The sequence below is a fragment of the Homo sapiens genome, chromosome 4 (assembly GCF_000001405.40).
Source record: "Homo sapiens chromosome 4, GRCh38.p14 Primary Assembly".
Taxonomy (NCBI): domain Eukaryota; kingdom Metazoa; phylum Chordata; class Mammalia; order Primates; family Hominidae; genus Homo; species Homo sapiens.
Window position 1 is genome coordinate 6,334,420 of NC_000004.12, and position 18,855 is coordinate 6,353,274.

At 54.2% G+C, this 18,855-nt stretch overlaps 1 protein-coding gene across 9 annotated transcripts in view, besides 2 other annotated features; it reads right to left on the minus strand.

The window, feature by feature from the left end:
* PPP2R2C (protein phosphatase 2 regulatory subunit Bgamma) overlaps positions 1 to 18,855 on the minus strand; it is a 243,219-nt gene that overhangs the window by 13,839 nt on the left and 210,525 nt on the right. For all 9 annotated transcript variants that reach the window (XM_047415891.1, NM_001206994.2, NM_001206995.2 and 6 more), the window contains one exon: positions 13,427 to 13,591. In XM_047415891.1, coding sequence (XP_047271847.1) covers positions 13,427 to 13,591 — 165 coding nt within the window. The remainder of the gene's footprint in view (positions 1 to 13,426; positions 13,592 to 18,855) is intronic.
* Positions 4,654 to 5,232: an enhancer, noted in NCBI's record as "H3K4me1 hESC enhancer chr4:6340800-6341378 (GRCh37/hg19 assembly coordinates)". NCBI's record gives its function as "activates a minimal SCP1, AML or CMV promoter by ChIP-STARR-seq in naive H9 embryonic stem cells {active_cell/tissue: H9 hESC(naive)}" and the evidence as "EXISTENCE:reporter gene assay evidence [ECO:0000049][PMID:30033119]".
* Positions 5,233 to 5,810: an enhancer, noted in NCBI's record as "H3K4me1 hESC enhancer chr4:6341379-6341956 (GRCh37/hg19 assembly coordinates)". NCBI's record gives its function as "activates a minimal SCP1, AML or CMV promoter by ChIP-STARR-seq in primed H9 embryonic stem cells {active_cell/tissue: H9 hESC(primed)}" and the evidence as "EXISTENCE:reporter gene assay evidence [ECO:0000049][PMID:30033119]".

Consider the following 18,855-nt stretch of genomic DNA (forward strand, 5'->3'; position numbering starts at 1 on the left):
CAATTATAGACTGGGACAGAGTGGGCAATGAGGACTCCCCAGACAGTGTCCCCTCCCCACTGCCCCCATAACCTGGCCTTCCTGAGCTGCAGAAGTTCCCAAAGTGGGACAAGGTCTCTAAGCTCATTTCTGCTGGTATCTGTCTCACTGGTAGCAGTGACCCTGGGGCTGAAGTAGCGTGGGGACTAGGACCCCTGTTGGGCCAGGCACTAACTCCCTAGGACCTGGGCCACAGAGAGACCCAGGGAACGATGGGAAGAGAACAGGGTGGTGGAGTTGACAGCCATTCACCAGCCAATCTGGAAATACCTAAACCTATGACAACCTGTCCAGCTGTCCCCATGGAAACCGGCTGAGTGGCAGCCTTGCCTGCTGGCCTGCTCTGGTCTCTACCCCAGAAACAGGGAAGCAGAGCTGATCACAGCACCCTGAGGCTCCCGAGAGGCCCCTCCCTGCTGGCCCCTCTCAGCCACAAGGGCTCGTGTCCTGCCTCCCAGGTCTGTCCCAGCCCCTTATCCCCTCATGGGAAATGGCAGCACCCCATTCTCCCTCCTGTCCAAGGTGGACACTGTACCTGGCCACTGCCTCTCCAGAAATACAACTCCTGTCCAGCTCCCCTCTGCAGGGCCCACTGGATGCCCTGATGGACTCATTCATTCATTCATTCATTTATTCACTCAGTCAACCAATGCAAACAGCACCTACTCTGTGCCAGGCCCTGGGATGATGCAGTGACCAGCATAAAGCCACTGTTCCTGTGCAGCCAACATTCTCCTTGCAGATACAGACAATAAAACTAAGTGGCGCCCTCCACCGCCAGGGAGCAGCAAGTGCTGGGGAGGAAGAGCCAGCAGGCAGATAGGTGCTGGGGGCTGGTAGTTTAGGTGAACAGGGCCTCCGTGGGAGGTGCTGTTTGACCAAGGTCTGAGTGAAGTTGGGGAGAGATTGGTGGCGATGCCTGGAGAGGGGTGTGCTGGGCAGAAGGGACGGCACACGCAAGGGCCCTGAGGCAGGGACACGCCAAGGGCCGTGCAGGCAGAGAAAGGAGTGAGCAGGGGGAACAGGGACGCAAGGGGCCACCCACGCAGGATCTCATGGGCCACGGAGAGGGGTGAGGAAGTCACCATTAGGGAAACGGGAGCCACTGAGGGTTCAGAGACAGGGAGGATGAAATCTGAGTCAAGGAGGTAGGGAGGGGCAGGCAGGAGGCTGGAGTCCCCTCCCGACGGAGGAAGGAAGTTCCAGCACCCGGTGGGCCAGGGCTGCAGAGCCCAGGTGTCACCATCCTGATCCCAGGCCACTGCATGCAGGGAGGTGAGGGGAGGTGAGAGGAGGGGGAGGGAAGCTGCTTACAGGGCAGGAAAAGGCTCCCACGTTTATGTTCATGCCTCTGGTATCCCCCCAAATCAGAGCAGGCAGCAGGAGGAAGGTCCCCCCCACCTCTCTTGAGAGCAAGGCCTCCAAACACCTGTCTCTGAAGCAGACCCCTGAAGCTCAGGAGATCTATATCCCTGTCCTTAGCCTCTCCACAGCCTCTGGTGAGCAGTGGCAGCCTTCAACCCCACACCTCTGCCCTCAAAGCCATGGCACTGCACCGGGTATCCTGAGGGCAGGTGGTCGCTCCTTCCAGTCCTGGCGTCAAGATCAGGAAGGAGGGAGGGAGCCTAGTTTATCCACTAATAAGTGGTGTCATATTTTGGAATTAGAATGCTATCAGGCTGGCAGGTGTTTAACGAAACTCAAAACTGACAGTAGGCGCCTCCCTTTCCAGGAGCCCAACCCACCCCTCCACACGCCCCCAGTCCCCAGGCCTGCCTGCGACCTCAATCTCCCTCCATCGTTCACAGGGGCGCCCTTCTCAGTGGCCCGAGCTTTCCTCTTTCCACAAGGGCACATTGAAGGGAGGACCAGAAAGAAAATCAGCACCATGGGAAGGAAGGGTGAGGCCGCTCGCAGAGGGAGCTGGGAGAGAACAGGCTGCCAGGGTCTCAATCCCCGAGCCCCTCGTGTGGCCTTGAACGCCTTCACCTCCCTGAGCCCTGGCCTTGCTCCTCCCTACAACAGGAGCCAAGGGCGCTTTTCAGGAAGGGGCAGGAGGAGGGGGTTGCAGCCAGGCCTGGCACCACCCTGGGTACAGGCAGGGCCGCAGGCAGCAAAGATGCTGTACAGAGTGAGCCCAGTGCACGATGAGTGCTGCAGCCCTACTGACTTACTTCCCTCCCTCCCTCCCTCCCTCCCTCCCTCCCTGCTTCCATCCCTCCCTCCCTCCCTGCTTCCATCCCTCCCTCCCTCCCTCCCTCCCTCCCTCCTTCCCTCCCTCCCTCCCTCCCTCCCTCCTTCCCTCCCTCCCTCCCTCCTTCCCTCCCTCCCTCCCTCCCTCCTTCCATCCCTCCCTCCCTCCCTCCTTCCCTCCCTCCCTCCCTGCTTCCATCCCTCCCTCCCTCCCTGCTTCCATCCCTCCCTCCCTCCATCCCTCCTTCCCTCCCTCCTTCCTTCCCTCCCTCCCTCCTGTGAGCCCTCCAACCCCTCCCTGCCTGTGGAGGAGGATGGGTACGGTAGGGGTAGTAAAATCTCCCTGGGAGTCACCTTGAGCTTCTGAACCTCTGAGTTCTAATTGGTCATCTCACATGATAATGTTTTGTGCCCCGATAATAATAATTAAATTGGCATCTTTGTTTCTGTATGTGTGTGTGTATATATATATATATATATATATATATATATATATATATATATATATATTTGTAGTTTTTCTTTGTTAAGCCAAAGAAGGATCAACCACAGTTCCCTTTTCTCTCTGATGCCTACCGTAAAGAAAATCACTTCGAACGCTTGATTCCCTAAAGGGGTGATGTTGTGCTGCCTTTCCATTAGCAGTGGGTAGAGACTCATATTTGGGAGAAGCAGGGAGAGGGCTTGAGAGAAGAGGGACCCCCGGTGGCTAAATGGATGGAAACAAGGAAGAGAATCTCAGCGGGACCTGGTGGCCCCCAGCACCTGCCCAGGTGAGTGGCGGGAACCCTGTCTGGCCTGAACTAGGCTTTCTGTCACTTGGAGGTGAGGCGGAGGTGAGTCCAAAACTGAGCCAGGGCGGCCTCTCACAGGCTGACTTCCGGAGTGGCCTTAGTACCCCCTCGCCTGCTCAGGGGTCTCTCAGACCAGACTCCCCCAGACCTTGAGGGCTGGTCTAGGTTCCCAGCAGGACTTGCGGGTGGATTCAGCCAGAATCACAGGGGGCACCGGTGCTGGGTGTCACAGGGCAGAACGAGTGGCCAAGTATCCTACCAGCCTCCAGCAGGAAAAACCGCAAAGATCAAAGGCTGAGAGAACAATTGAATCGATAGTGGAAACAAAGCCAAACGGCGCTGGCCCTTGTCGCCCCACTGCTGGCTGTACTCGGGCATTTCTGAGGGTTTTTAAGGACACAAGGAACAGGAATGCAAACGATAGATCGGAAGGGATATTAATAAGCCTGAAAAACCATTCCTAAAAGTTCCTCTTTTTCTTTTTAGACGTTTCTATGAAATTTTTGATACAATAGATTTTTTTCCAAAAGATAGTGGAATCTACTATTCCATATCAATCGCTGCCCCCGAGTACGCACGCAAACACACACACATACACACACACACACCCCGCTGCACCACCTTCAGAGCGCTAACAAGAGATAAGGGGTCTCCCCTCTAATTGACTGAATCGCTAAGGACATTTCACAGTAATTATTCCTGCCATGGGTTTAAAGAAACATGTCTCAAAGCCCCCATCACTTGTGATGGGCCCAGTCCCATCTCCACCCACTCCCCCACACCCTAATTATTTAAAAGTTGGAGAGCTCTCAATCAGCCGAAATCTCCATCCTGTTTCTTTTTAATGATTTTGCATAATTAGGGCTCTCATGGCTCGAGCCGGTTCCCTGACAACCACATCCTCTTCCTCCCTGGGTGTTGCACGGTGTTGTGGCCACAGAGAGCCTTCCCCACCCCCATCCCTGGCTCAGGCCAAGGTGGAGGGGACCTGGGGAGCCCAACCAAGGTGTGGGGCGGCTCTGACGGACCTGTGAATCAAAGGAAACAGGAGGTGAAGCCTGAGAGCAGGTGCCCACCTTCCTTTCCAGCCTCACACAGAGCCGACGGCACCTCCTTCTGCTTGAAGCCCTCCTTGGCTCCCCAGTGCCCACAGGATCAAGGTTTAGGCTCCTACCTGTAGCTGACCAGCTCCTTCTCAATGGGTCCCAACCAGCCTGCTGCTGCTGCCTCACACACGCAAGTTCCCCTCTGCCGCACACTCCAGCCCCCTTCCTGCTGGGCCCCTAGGGCACTGCATCCACTCAAAGGCTCTGGGGGTGGGTGTCTCCTCAATGTTGAGCCCTAGGCATCTCCCCCTGCCTCCCGTAGCCCCTGCCCCGCCATGTGCTGGGCAGAGAGCAGAATGCATCGTGCTCTGTGTGACCTCAGGCAAGGGCCTGGTCCTCTCTGAGCCCAGCTTCCCTCATCTGGAGAAGGAGCACGATGGGATCTTCAGAGGTCATGCCTGGAGGCGATGGCCCAGTGTGGGGCTTGCAGTAGCTGCTCAATAAAACTACGGAGGGATTCCTGGAGTTATTTTTCACATCATTTTCTCTCCCTGAGATCCCTTTCCCATTTTTAGCTGGTCTTTCTTACCAACTCCTATACATCCTCTAGAACCCCAGGCTCACACCCTGCTTTCTGTGCATATTGTTCACATGCTCTCTAAAGAAATCCTGTGCTTACCCTCTGCTGCCCCCAAGCCGCTGGGTACCTTCTCCTGTGGCACTGGCAGGAGGGCAGGGTCCCCTCATGGGGCTGTAAGCTCCCTTGGGCCAGGGGTCCTGCCTTGGTCATTAGTCACTGATCATCTTGGCGCCCCTGCCTAGCACAGACCCTGCCTCATGGCCCCGCCCTGCTCCCTGAGCAGAGAGAAGCTTGTGCAGCTGCCTGCCGTTTCTGCTCCAGCCCCTCACTGACATCTTTCTTCCCCAACCTGATGTGGTTCCACTGCAGTTTCCAGGCCTGGCAGAGAAGCCTCAGCCAGCCTGGGGGTGGCCCCTGTGTGCCCGTGGCACTTGCTCTGTGGCCCTCTTGGTAGCACCTGCTGTGCCCCACCCCCATCGTTGTCAGTGTGTGGACGACACTCCTCTGGGGCTGGGGTGGAGGCCGATTGGGTTCACACAGTAGAAATGCATGGGCTTGAGCCATGCATTCAGGGACAAGTGCAGTTCAGTGAGGCCTCCAGAGAAACAGATGAGGGTGGGAGGGACCTGCAGGTGGGTGGAGGTGGGAAACATGGGAGGAGGTGGCCTGGAGGGGGAGGGGCCTATGGGGTCCTGGGCAGTGATCGCCCCTGGCTACCCTGGCCACGGGTCCCTCCTGTGATCTGATGGGATACAAGGCCATCCACGAGGGTGGAGTGGCCTGGGCCAGCTGGCCTCACCTCAGGCCGCGCTCCAGGAGGAGCTTGGAGGGTCCGAGAAGCAGAAGAAGGACGATGGGGGTTATGGATCCCCGAGCACCCCTGGACACTGGCTTGCTCCTGGGTTCCAGGTGATGCCACTGTTTGGGGAGGGGCCTCCTGTTCGGCCTCTTTCCCTATCCCTGAGGCTGTACACAGTGGGGAGGGAGCAGGGAGTTCCTACAATGGCACAGGTGGGCACAATGAATGCTCACTGATGAAGAGATGACAGTTGTCACTCCCTGCCCAGCACCATGTGATCGAGCCCCATCAAACAAAAAACTCAAGCCCAGCTGTGGCCCCCAGGCCCGGCACGCTCTCCCCTTAACCCATCTTTGCACACAAGAGCCCACCCCTCCACCTGTTCCAGCCACACGGGTCCTGACGTCAGCCAGGTTCCTCTCAGACACTACTGTGGGGTGGGGCACCCCCGCCCCCATTCCCAGGCTCTTTCTCATCCAGGGACACCTCTCCTGACCCCTGAGGTGCAATGCATCAGAGGGCTCCTGATGCCCTTCATGGAAACCTTCCCACTCCAATGCACCTACTTATTTACTAGTCCCCTTCCTGTGGTCCCTCCACAAAGCTCCACACAGACGGGAGCCTGGTCTCTGTACAGAGCCTGAAGCCATCCCCGACCCTCCCTCCCTCTCCATCCAATCCAGCAGCAAATCCAGCAGGCCCCACCTGCCATGGGGGGCAGGGCCCACCACCTTCCCCACCTGCACCGGCCACTCACTCTGCGCACCAGCGTCTCTCACCTGCGTGAACACGCTAGCCCCCAGCCAGCCCCCACTTCTACCTCACCCCTCAGCTTATTCCCCACTGGGCAGCCAGAGGGATCCTGTGAACACATGGCCAGGCTGGCCCACTCCCTACTCAGACGGCCTTGTGGTTCCTGTCCCTTTCAGAGGAAACCCGAAGCTCTTGCTCTGGCCTGTGAGGCCTCCTCCAGCCACACACCTCTCTGACCTCACCTCCTCTCTCCAGCCTCTGTATCCAGCCACAGGGCCCTCACATGGGCTGTTCCCACTGTTGGGGAGCTTTGCCCTGGTCCTGCACCTGGAGAGCTGCAGGGTCTGGGCTGAGGCTGGTCTTTCTGCAGCAGATCCATTACTAGAGTGAGCCCTGGGAGTTGAGCCCACACAGCCCTTTTAAATGAACCCACTCAGGTGGGGGGCGGTGGCTCACGCCTGTAATCCCAGCACTTTGGGAGGCCGAAGTGGACAGATCACCTGACGTCAGGAGTTTGAGACCAGCCTGGCCAACATGGCAAAACCTTGTCTCTACTAAAAATACAAAAAGTCGGGTGTGGTGGCCGGCACCTGCAATCCCATCTACTGAGGAGGCTGAGGCAGGAGAATTGCTTGAACCCAGGAGGTGGAGGTTGCAGTGAGCCAAGATCATGCCATTGCACTCCAGCCTGGGCAATAGAATGAGACTCCATTTCAAAAAAAAAAAAAAAAAAAACCCAGCTCACCCACAATTCCTGTAAGAGTTTTAGTTCTCAAGGCTTCTGTGATGAGAAAGGGAAAAAGAGTGCAGGTTGAAGGCATGAGACTCTCTGAGGCTCTATCTTGGCTCTACTTAGCTGTGTGACCTTGGGCAAATGTCTTAATCTCTCTGTGCTTCAATGTAGCAGAGAACAATGACCCCTAAAGGCGTCTATCTACATCCTCCACCCTAGAATCTGTGCACCTGTTATCTCACATGGCAAAAGGGGCTTTGCAGATGTCATTAAGTGAAGGACCTTGAGGTACGGAGGTGACCCTGGATAATCTGGATGGGCCCAATGTCATCACAAGGGTCTGTATAGGAGGAAGAAGGAAGGTCAAAGATGGAAGAAAGAGATGGGATGATGGAAGCAGAGGTTGGAATGATGAGCTGAGGAGTGCAGGCAGCCTCTAGAAGCCTCTAGTAGCTGGAAAAGATCAGAAAACAGCCCCACCCTGCAGCCTCCAGAGATAACACAGGCCAGCTGACGCCTTCATTTTAGCCCGAGTTCCAGAATGTACAACAGTCTTTTGTGTTGTTTTGAGCCACTAAGCTCATGGCAATTGTTCCCGCAGCAATGAGAAGTGCGTATACAGTTGCCCCTTGACCCTCACACAACACAGGCTTGAACCTGCAGGTCCCCTGATGTGCGATTTTCCCAGTAAATATACTGAAAACATTTTGGAGATCTGCCACGATACACACACACACACACACACACACACACACACACACACACACACACATACATATATATACATACATATATATATAAGAAAAGAAAAAGTTAGGTATGTCACAAATGCATAAAATCCACGTAGACATCAGTCTCTTCAAATGTTCATCAGCTGTTGATGTTACTGGTAATGCTCCCCACCAACAGCCGACTATTAGGAGTGAAGTTTTGAGGGAGTCAAAAGTTAAGCATGTACTTTCAACTGCATTCAGGCACTGTCTGAACCCCTAACTCCCACATCATTCCAGGGTCAAGTGTATTCAACTTCCTCATCTGTAGGATGAATACTATAACACACCCATCATAGGTGCTGAGTATTTAATGAGATATAAACTGAAAACAGCATGTGTTTGCACTAGGTGTGCAAAGAATGAGCTGCGGTTATTATTTCACCCAACACCGGGCCAGGCACGTCGTTGGGGGCCTATGAAGGGTCTTGGCCATCATCGGCCCCGATTCTAAGAAATCAGGGTCTCAGCCATCATCACCCCCAATTCTAAGAAATCCCAGTGTTCCGGGCACGGCCCTTTCTTTCCGCAGGCTCTGTGCTGTCATAAGCAGAAGTAACTGTCTATTTTGAGGACTCATGTACGGTTGTTTCCACGGTTACCCTGTCACACTGCCAAGCAGTCACAAGACGCGGATTTCCAGTGCTTCGGAGAAAGGTGGGAAGCTGCAGAGGGAACAGAGTGGCCTGTGTGCCCCCAGCTCTGCCCTGATAGAGGAGGGGTCCAGGGAAGTCACAGAGCTTCTCGGACCCTCGGTCTCCTCATCTGTCCAATGGCAGAAATGCTCACCTTCCTGCATCCAGGACGCTCTTCATTCGCGGTCTGATTCTGTTAGGAAAATGATGCTGTGAGCACATCTCTGGGGTGTCACTATCAGCCACTCCCTGAGTTTTGAGCAGTAATTGGATACATGGATGGAAGTGGGAGGTGAAGAACTAATCCTAATCCCCAAATCCCTTTTAAAAAATTAGCTCAAATAACAGCCATTTGTGTTCAGATTAAAAACAGCCGCCACCTGCTAATTGGAAAGCGGCTGCGTGCTTGATTTCCCATGAGAGCCACAGAGCAAAAACACAGCCCGGACAAGGCATGCAGAAGGACAGACACTTCAGCCACTCGCCCCAATGTGCGGCAAATTAAATGAGGAGAAATGGAAGCTGTAAAAGCATGCTAAAAACTGCTGCGCAATCTTTTTGCTGGCACGAAAGAGAAAGTTTCCGTACAGGATATTGAGTTTGATAATGAAAAATATTCTAGAAAAATTTTAAATAAAATTTGCATAAATCAATAATCAAAAAAGAAATTAAGCTGGTTGTTTAAAATTTTTCTTCTCTTGGCCTGGTATGGTGGCTCATGCCTATAATCCCAGCACTGGAGGCCAGGAGTTCGAGACCAGCCTGGCCAACACAGCAAAACCCTGTCTCTACTAAAAATACAAAAAAAATTAGCCAGGCATGGTGGCACACACCTGTAATCCCAGCTACTCCAGAGGCTGAGGTGAGAGAATCCCTTGAACCCAGGAGGTGGAGGCTGCAGTGAGCCAAGATCGTGTCAGGGTGATGGAGCCAAATTCTGTCTAAAAAAAAAGAAAAAAATTCTTCTCTCCCTCAAAAGGACACCAAATAGATTTGCACACAAGTTTTCCTAAGATTTCAAGGAGCAGATATATTACATCAACTGCTCCAGAAAAAGAAAGAAAAAGCTGCCCAGTTCATTTTAGGAGAGTTGAATAATCTTAAAATTGGGCAAAGAGAGTATAAGAAAAGAAAATTATAAACCAACTTCACCTATGACTGTGTGTGCAAAAAGCATACATAAAACCTTAGTACATCACAGGCAGCCCCACCCTGTCTACAGACTTGGGATCACTGGTGCGGGCAAGAGCCGCCAGAGGTCAGCATGTTGCCAACCTCCCAGGTGAGTCACTGAGCACAGCCAACAGGCCCTTGGGGATTTGTCAGCAAGGACCTGGCCCCAAGGTCGCCCAGGCACAATCAAAAGTCCTCAGTGGCCTGGAAGACACCATGTCCCTCTCTCCGCACCTCGGCCTGCCAGAGCCTTCTGGAACCTCAGTGCAATCCGGAGAGGAGTGGAATCTGCCGAGGCCCTAAAAGTTAACGTTCACTGCAGCCCTGGGAGCTGGGGGTGAAGAATGAAATTGAATTGAGTCATCGAAAACACTCATATTTCTCGCACTGTTGAGTTCATTGGCTGATTCACACAAGGCTCATACATCATCAGGCATATGAAATTACGTGGCTGAAATGGATGTGTCTGTGCTTGGACTCACGAAATGTGCAAGGTATATGTGACCGCTGCTTCTGCCCTGGGAAACCGGATAGCACAGGCTTCGGGAGCCAAAGGGGGTCTGACTGCCCCCTCTAGCCCACTGAAAAATGTCACACAAACATTGAGGGGTGCACAAAACTGTCCTATGCCCGTCTCTGTGCTCTCTAAATTCCACCCTTCCTGCACACACATGTGTTTTCTGATTCAAAGTTCAAATCCATCATGAAAGTAAAAATACACAGAAAAATAAAAAGAAAATATTCCATCAGTTTCTTATAGCTCACCACTCAGGGACAACTTAGTGTATTTCTTTCCAGAGTTTTCTCTGTTTCCACTTTTCTGGTGGTCATAGCCTTATTTTGTTATCCCCTAAATCTTTCAACATAATCACTTCCCTGTGGCATTAAAAATTCTTCTAAAACAATAGCTGACATGACCGAACAATATTCTAGTACATGGATGTCATCACTGTCGACATCATTTTCTCGGCATTTTAAACTGGTTGCTTAAAATTTTCCTTCTCTCCCTCAAAAGGACGCCGAATAGATTTGCACACAAGTTTTCCTAATACTTCAAGGAGCAGATATATTACACCAACGGTTCCAGAAAAAGAAACAAAAAGCTGCCTCACTCATTTCAGAAGAGTTGAATAATCTTAGCATTTAAGATTGGGATATTGAGGATGTTTCTGGATTTCCACCCCTATAAACAACAGGGTGCCAATGAAGCCCCATCCTCCTTCCCACAGGGCTCACACGGGGTCAGCAGCGGACCAGGAGCAGGAAGAACCCCCTCTCTTCCCCAATATTCTCCCATTCCATTCGGACCCAGACCTGGCTGTACACAGGCACAGCTGGAGGCACATGTGGCCTGAGTGAATGGGCGGGAGGCGTAGGTGGGGGGGCAGTGTCCTGTAGTAGGCGGTGGAACGGCCCCCAGAGACGGCTGCGTCCTGATCCCTAGCACCTGTGACTATGTTATGCTACACGGCAAAGTCAAAATAAGGCCAAAGATGAAATCAAGGACGCAACTCAGCCAACCTTGAGATGAGGAAGTCATCCTGGATCATTAGGGGTGGCAGGAACAAGGCGATCACAAGGGCCTTTATACGCGAAAGACAGACAGGAGGGTCAGAGACGTGAGAGAGGCTTGGCCGCTGTGGGCTGGGAGGATGGGGGAGGGGCCACGTGCCAGGGAACGCAGCGCCTCTAGAAGCCAGAAGAGGCAGGGAAAACGGTGCTCCCCAGAGCCTCCCGAAGGTACCAGCCCGTGGCACCTTCATTATGGCCAGTGAGCTGGCTGTGGGACTGCGGACTGAGACTATACATATGCCCTGTTTTCAGCCACCAAGTGTGTGGTCCTTTGTTGTGGCGCACAGGACGCAGCCCCGAGCCCCCTGCACCCCGGGAATCTCAGCTGGTCTCCAGCCTCCCATCAGTCCACGGCCACTAACTCCACACTTATCTCCAGGTGGCATTACTGCCTGGATATCTGGCTGCCTACTCGACCCATTTCCTTGGAACCCAATACGGGCCTCAGGCTCGCGGGTCTGAAACCTGCCTGCTGGTCCCTGGCACCCCCTGTTGTTCCAGGCCACGGCCCCACCTTCACCCACAGCTCAAACCAACCACAGAGTCACGCCCCACAAGGCAAAGCTCGACCTCCAAGCAACATCCAGAGGGGGCAGCCAGGTGAGCCCTGCCCCACCTCCCAACAACCCCCTCAGTGGGGTCACCATTTCTTCCTGCAGACCCTGCAGCGACCTCTGACGCCTGCTCCCCCGGGGACCCTCTGCGGCGTCTCCTCTTCCTCCTCAAGTCCCAATCTCGTGACAACCCACAGCTTCTCATTCTCAGCTCAGCCAGAACAAAACCCAGTCCCTCCCTTGACCTACAGGCAATGTGTGGAGTCACGGCCACTGCAGTGCCCTCCTTCTCGAACATTCTTCCCCAGAGATCGGCACCACCCACCCCCTCAGGGTGTCCGTTCCACTGTGGTCTCTTCAGGGAGGCCCTCCCTGACCCCCTCTGTCCCTGTACCTGACTTTGTGGGTGTTGGTGCCATTGCTCACCATGCCCTGACATGCGTCAGGTGTGTGTTCACTGTCTGTCTCCCCCGCAGACGCCAGCTCCCGACGGTGGGCCTCTGCTGCACACCCATGCCAGGAATAGGCGCCTACTGAATGCCTGGATGGCTGAGCGTGACACACGGAGCGTGGACAAACCCAGAGGAGATGAGGGGGTGGATGTGGGGGCCAGAACTTGGCCAAGGAAGGAGGCAGAAGCTGGAGGTTTTGGTGGGCCCTGAGCCTGAGTCCTGGGGCTGGTGTGCACCCTGTCTCTGACTGCCCAGCAAAACCAGACACCCTAAGGGAACAGTGTGGCCCCATCGCTCCCAAACAGCCCTCTGCCGCCGGCACCCAGGCTTCAGTCAGGGTCCTCTGGGGTTTATTCAACAAGTGTTTATTTCCAGACACTGTGGTAGGTGCTGGGGACAGACAGTGAGGGGAACCAGATAAGCAAAGTCCCTGCCCTCTGCCTGGGGGACACCCCACCTCCTGCCTGGCCCCTTGCTAGCCCTGCAGGGCTGTCTGGGAAGGAGGATGCCGTGGCCTGATCCCTCGCCTTCAGGGGCCTCTGGGATGGCTGTGGCAGTGTGCAGCCCATGGCCACAACCCAGTGCCAGGCAGCCCAGCTCTGCCACGATTGAATTTGGGTGACCTTGGGCCAATAACTGGAGCTTCTGTTTCCTCTTCTGAACAGCATCTCCTGGGGCTTGTGTGAAGATTCGATGAGTTCACAGGTAAAGCCCTTGGTAAGGGCTGGGCTCAGAGTGAGTGTTCAGTGTGAGCTGTTATGCTGGGGGCTGCTGTGTCACAAAATGTCCCCTGGAACTCGTTCAGCCCCAGACCTCCACGGATACCCCTGTGGGACCCCCACAGCAGGCCTGTGGTGGGTTCTAGGATGAGGGGACATGTTACAGACCCTGCTCCAAGGAGCCGGAGAAGATGGGCAGCCCACAGCAAGTTTGCTGGGTGTGGCTAGTTTTGGAAGAGGGAAGCTTTGGGGGCTGCAGGGCCACAGAGGAGGATCCAGATCTAAAGTAGGAGGCCGGGAAGCTTTCCTACAGGAGGTGACATTTAAGTTTGGTGCCTCCTTACCTTCTGGATGCCCTGACCCTCGCCCTAGAGCCCTGAACCCTAAAAGCTGGGCTGTTCCTGGCTGTGCAGGGACTCTGGGGGGCAGCAGGTGGCAAGACCAGGCTCCCCGACCAGCCAGCGCTGAAGCAGCAATGGGCCCACCCACCTTGGCCAGTCCAGGACATGCTCATCCCACACCCACCACCCCTGCAGCAGCTGCACCAGGACAGGACATCCCACCCGCCCGCCTGCCCAATGCACAGCCCCCCACCCCCAGGCACCGGCACTTACGCTTGGAATGCTTGTCACACAGGGCAGCTGCCCGCATGTCGCAGAGCCGCAGGGAGCCCTTGCTGCTGCTGTAGACGAAGAGGTTGCAGTGGTGCGGATGGAACTCAGATGCTGTGATCACCTCCGTAAGGTCCTCCATGTTGGCCGGCTTGATGTCCACGATGTCTGGGGGCAGTGCGGTCAAGGAAGGGGCAGTGAAGGGCGCCCTCAATGCTCCGCCTTCCCGGAGGTTTCTGACACCTCTCCCGAGGCAAAACCGTCCACCCTCGCGTCTGAGCTGCCTCTCTGTTCCTGAGACCCTCAAAATGCGTCCCCCTGAGCTGCAGACCTGCATGGTGAACTGCCTGCTGGCTACCCCTTCTAGGTGCCTGTCCCCTGTTCCCATGAAGCTGGACCCACCACTTCCCTCCTGACCTGCGGCCCCCCTCACCTGCACCCCACCCCAGTGAGGGTGCATCAGTTCCAGCCACACATAGCACTGACCTGTGGAGCCCCTCTCCTCTGCCTTCCTTCCCCTGTTGGTTGCCAAGCAGAAGAAAAAGAGCATTTATATTGTGCCGACTGCATGCTGGGCAGTGGATGCTATTGGTGAATGATTTCAAGTCTTCCCGGTCCCTTTTCAAATTGTGTCTGGAATTGAGTGTGTGGGCATCTGGGAGCTCCCCTTCCTGCCCCCGGCACCTGCTCCCCTTCTTCTGACCACAGTATGGAGATTCTCCTTTGGGCAAAGGTTCTTCTGGGTTTCTGGGTCGGCCCCACCTCGGCTCTGATCTGTGCTCTCCAGACCCCAGGACTTGGAATACTGAAAAGGCTGGGATGCAGCTTGGTCACCCCTGCTGTGCTGGGTGGTGTAGAAAGAAGGAGCTTCTATCTGCTGCCAGGACAAGGAGAAACCCTGGAGCTTGAGGGTGGGGCAGACAGTGGAAAGAGTGCAGAGAAAGATCTGGTGATGCCATTGGAATCCTGGATCAAGCTGCACCTGAAGCCATTCCCCCCAGACTGCTAAATGTGGGAGCCAATAAATGTCCATTTTTTGTTTAGAGTCAAGAACTTTGCTGCTTGCAAAGGCAGTATCCCTGACTGTTACACTAGAGCACAGAGAAGATGAGCAACTCGTCCGGGGTGGCCCAGGTGTGATTGGTAAGGCTGGATTCAGCCTCACAACCTCCCCGGCCCCAGCACCTGCTCTTTTCCTATCCCTTCCCTGCTGCCCAGCAGCAGATCAGAATCTCTTGGAGCATGCAAGGACTGGCACCCCCGAGCTTCTCTCCGGCTTTCCAGCTTCAGATCCCACCCATCACCCTGACAGAAAGGCCCTCTCCCCTCTCACAGCAATGACCTCAGGCTCCGGTCTCCCCGGCCCTGCATGGGGCTTTGCACGGTCTGTTCCCTCTGACTCTTCAGGTGCATGTGAGCCCTGGAGTTGGAAGGTCTGGGGTTTGAATCCCAGCTCTGTCACCTCCTGGCTGTGTGACCCTGAGTGAGTTCCCAGCTATCCATGCCTCAGCTTCCTCATCTGTAAAATGAGTCAGCAGTATAGCCTTATCACTTCGCTGTGAAGATCATCAGAGGCAAAGCCCTTCACACACTGCCTGATGCGTTGCAGAGCTCAATGAATGTCAGTTTCCATTTTTATTATTTTCTATCTGGAAAATACTGACTGAAACTCTGAAATCCATCTGCCCTCCCTCTTCCTCCACCCAAGCTGCTGCCTCTCTCAGTAAGAAAGCAGTATTTGTAATCCCAGCACTTTGGGAGGCCGAGGCGGGCGGATCACGAGGTCAGGAGATCGAGACCATTCTGGCCAACACAGTAAAACCCCGTCTCTACTAAAATACAAAAAGAAATTAGTTGGAGACAAGCCTGACCAACATTGCAAAACCCCATCTCTACTAAAAAAAAATTAGTAGTGGCGTATGCCTGTAGTCCCAGCTAATCAGGAGGCTGAGGCAGGGGAATCACGTGAACCTGGGAGGTGGATGTTGCAGTTAGCCGAGATCGCACCATTATATTCCAGCCTGGTGACAGGGCAAGACTCTGTCAAAAAAAAAGCAAGCAAGCAGTATTTTCTGACCTCTCTAAACCCGAGGGTTTATAAAATGCCAGGGAAAAAAATGGCTGATCTGTGCAGTCAGAAAGCACCTAAAAGGGTCTCTGTGCTCGTGCTCAAATCTTGCTTCCCGGAAGCACGTCATTAACCACAAACTGAGAATCACATAAAAATAGAAAGAGAGGGAAAAATGAGTTAAGGCATCACTGCCTGGCTGGTTTCCCAGGAAACTACAGTTTTCCAGTATGAAAAGAAGCAGCGATTAAATAATGAAAAATGATACTGAAGGCCAAGCAAGAAAAGAGCCCTCCTCCTGCCATGCTGATTTCTCCAGCGTCCACCTGGCAGCCCAGCCCTCCCAGGCCGAATGCCTCCCATGGCTTTCCAGGACACGCTGCCCGCTCGGAGCAGCTCTCAGGTCCTTACTGAACTTCACTAAAGTGGGATCCAGAGAAAAAGTGCGGCCACTGATGAAATGTCACGCACATTAGTGCGACGGCCCATGGATAATGTGCAGTAGAGAGGCAGGGCAGAGAGGGGCTACATTCTCTCTGCACACCCTGAGACACACAAAAGCCACAGGAGGCTTGGTGGCAACAGAAGCGCCCAGGAACGTGAGTCCCACAGGAGTTCTGTTTGCGTCATCAGGACACTCATTCTCGTTGTATTTCCTGGGGTTATAACTCATGGGGCGCAGTGGGTGCAGGAGGACTCGGTGGGATGAAGTCAAATGCTGACACCCAGGGGGTTCTCTGAACATTCCAGGTTCTCTCCCAAGGGGAGACCTCTCCTTCGGCCTTTCAGAACCCAGAGTGGCCAGAGGCTGGTTGCTTCTGCCAATGAATAGACAAGTGAGGCATGTCACCTCCAGGCTGAAGTTTTGAGAGCCAGCACGTGGTCTGCTGTGACACTGTTCCCTCCGCAATGAGATCGCACCAAAGCCAGCCTGTGACGGCCACACTTGCAGCGTGAGTGGGAGGTGTGAAGTGGGTGTTTGAGGCCTTGGAGACCTTCAGGTTGTTTGCTACCACTGCAAAACGTGAGCCCCCTGACAGGTTCAGTGTCCACCCAAACGCTCTTTCCTTTCCCACCTGGGGATGTTTCAGAACTTTTCAAAGTATGTAGGAGGCCAGGCACCAGAGCTCACACCTGTAATCCCAGCACTTTGGGAGGTCAAGGCGAGCAGGTCACCTGAGCTCAGGAGTTCGAGACCAGCCTGACCAACATACCAAAACCCCGTCTCTACTAAAAATAAAAAATAAAAAAAAATTAGCCAGGCGTGGTGGCACATGCCTGAAATCCCAGCTACTTGGGAGGCTGAGGCAGGAGAATCGCTTGACTGGGGAGGCAGAGGTTGCAGTGAGCTGAGATCGCGCCACTGCACTCCAGACTGGGTGACAGAGCAAGACTCCATCTCAAAAATAAATAAATAAATTAATTAATTAATTAATAAAAGTATGCAGGGCTCCATTAGGTCTGTAGCCCTGTGGCAAACACACCCGAGCCACGGCAACCCAGGGCCGGCTGAGGGGCACGGACACTCAATCGAGCACCCCATGTATAGGCTGGGGACACAGAGTCCCCAAAGGCAAAGGGATCGAGGGCCTGGCTTTGGGGAGATAAAGTCTCCCAAACCTGGGTCAGGACCCATGGGGGAGCCATCACAGGGGAATCTCTCCTGCTCTTTCTCTCTGTCTTCGGATACGGTGGCTGCTGTGAAACAACCATGTGAGACACAGAGGCCCTGCATCCACATCACCCTGCAGAAGGAGAAAAATCACTGTCACGGCCAATGCGGCAGGCCCTCCACAACAGGGTCCCCACGGTAAGATCTCCGTGGGGAGGCAAGCAGTCCCGAGCCTCTGAATCCCAGGGCCCAGAGCCGTGCCCAGAACCTCTGGGCAGCACAGCACCCTTCACGGTGTGGGCACCGGGCTGGGTCCATGGTCACCTGGTCCGTGCGACCGCCTCTCCAAGACCTTGGCTCAGGTGGCCATAGGACCTACCCGGGCCTGCAGCCCAGCCCTTTACAAAAGGAATTAATTACCAAGTGGGGTGGCCCCTGTTGGTGCTCCCTCAATCCATCATAACACAGGGCCCTGAAGATGGACTCCTGACAAGGGAAGTAGCTGTGGGAGAAGCCTCCGGAGCACGAGAATTATGCCCAAACTCAGCTACCGTGAACACAGCTTTCTGCCCCACACCATGCCCTCCCCCGTGTGTAGACTTTGAAGCATTTGGCCCAGTGACCACACTCGGTGGCTTTAACTTAGGCAGGACCAGCACCAGGTCAGAAGCTGAGGGCCCCCGGCTGGGCGTCTGGTCTTGGCTGTCACTCGGGGCCCCCGGCTGGGCGTCTGGTCTTGGCTGTTACTGGAACATCATTTCCATTCTGCAAGCCTTGCTTTCCCCATCTGCAAAATGAGGGCCTGGGCCCTTTCCTTTCCAGGACTAACCGCAGGTGGCCCCACCCCAGCTTCATGATACCCGCCTAAATCCTGCTTGAAAAACTGCTTCACAAGGTTCATTTCAGGACTGGCCTCCCTTGGGAACAAGCATAATTAGGCTCATTTAAGAGTCCCCTTTCCCCTGGCAAAGCTGCTTGAATTATTCATCTTCTGTTTTCCCATCTAATTCCACTCCAACTGTCTGGTGGGATTTGTTTCCCTTCCAATCACACTCTAGCATCTAAGAGTCATTTTCCCTGCAAGAAAAGTTTGTCAGACACAGGTAGGAATTCCAGAGAGAGGAGCAAGTTATGCAGAGAGGATGAAAAGGAGAGAAGGTAAAATCGCTCTTCAATCCCATATGCCTCAACTGAGCACAGACTATTTTTCTCCACTGCAGTGGGTTGAATAATGGCCCCCACAAATACATCAGCATAGCATGTGTCCATAACATCCTGATCCCCAGAGACTGTGGAGTGTGATCTCATTTGGGAAAAGGGTCTTTGCAGATGTAGTTAAAGATCTTGAGATGAGATCACCCTGGATTACCCAGGTGGGCCCTAAATGCAATGACAAGTGACATTCTAAGAGACAGAAGAGGAGACACCAGAGGAGAAGGCCATGTGGAGACAAAGGCAGAGATGGGAGCGATGGCTACAGGAACATCTGGAGCCCCGGAGCTGGAGGAGACAAGGAAGCCTCCTCCCCTAGAACCTTCAGAGAGAGCACGGCCCTGCCAACACCTGGATTGAGAACTTGTGGCCCCCAGGACGGTGAGAATATATCTGTATTTTGAAGCCATGAAGGTTATGGCAATTTGCCACAGCAGCCACAGGACACTAACCCACCCAAGGTGCTTCCTGGGAGTTGGGAAATAAGAGCAGACGCAATGCCAGTGCTATGGGCAGCCACCGACAGCCCCCCAACACCGA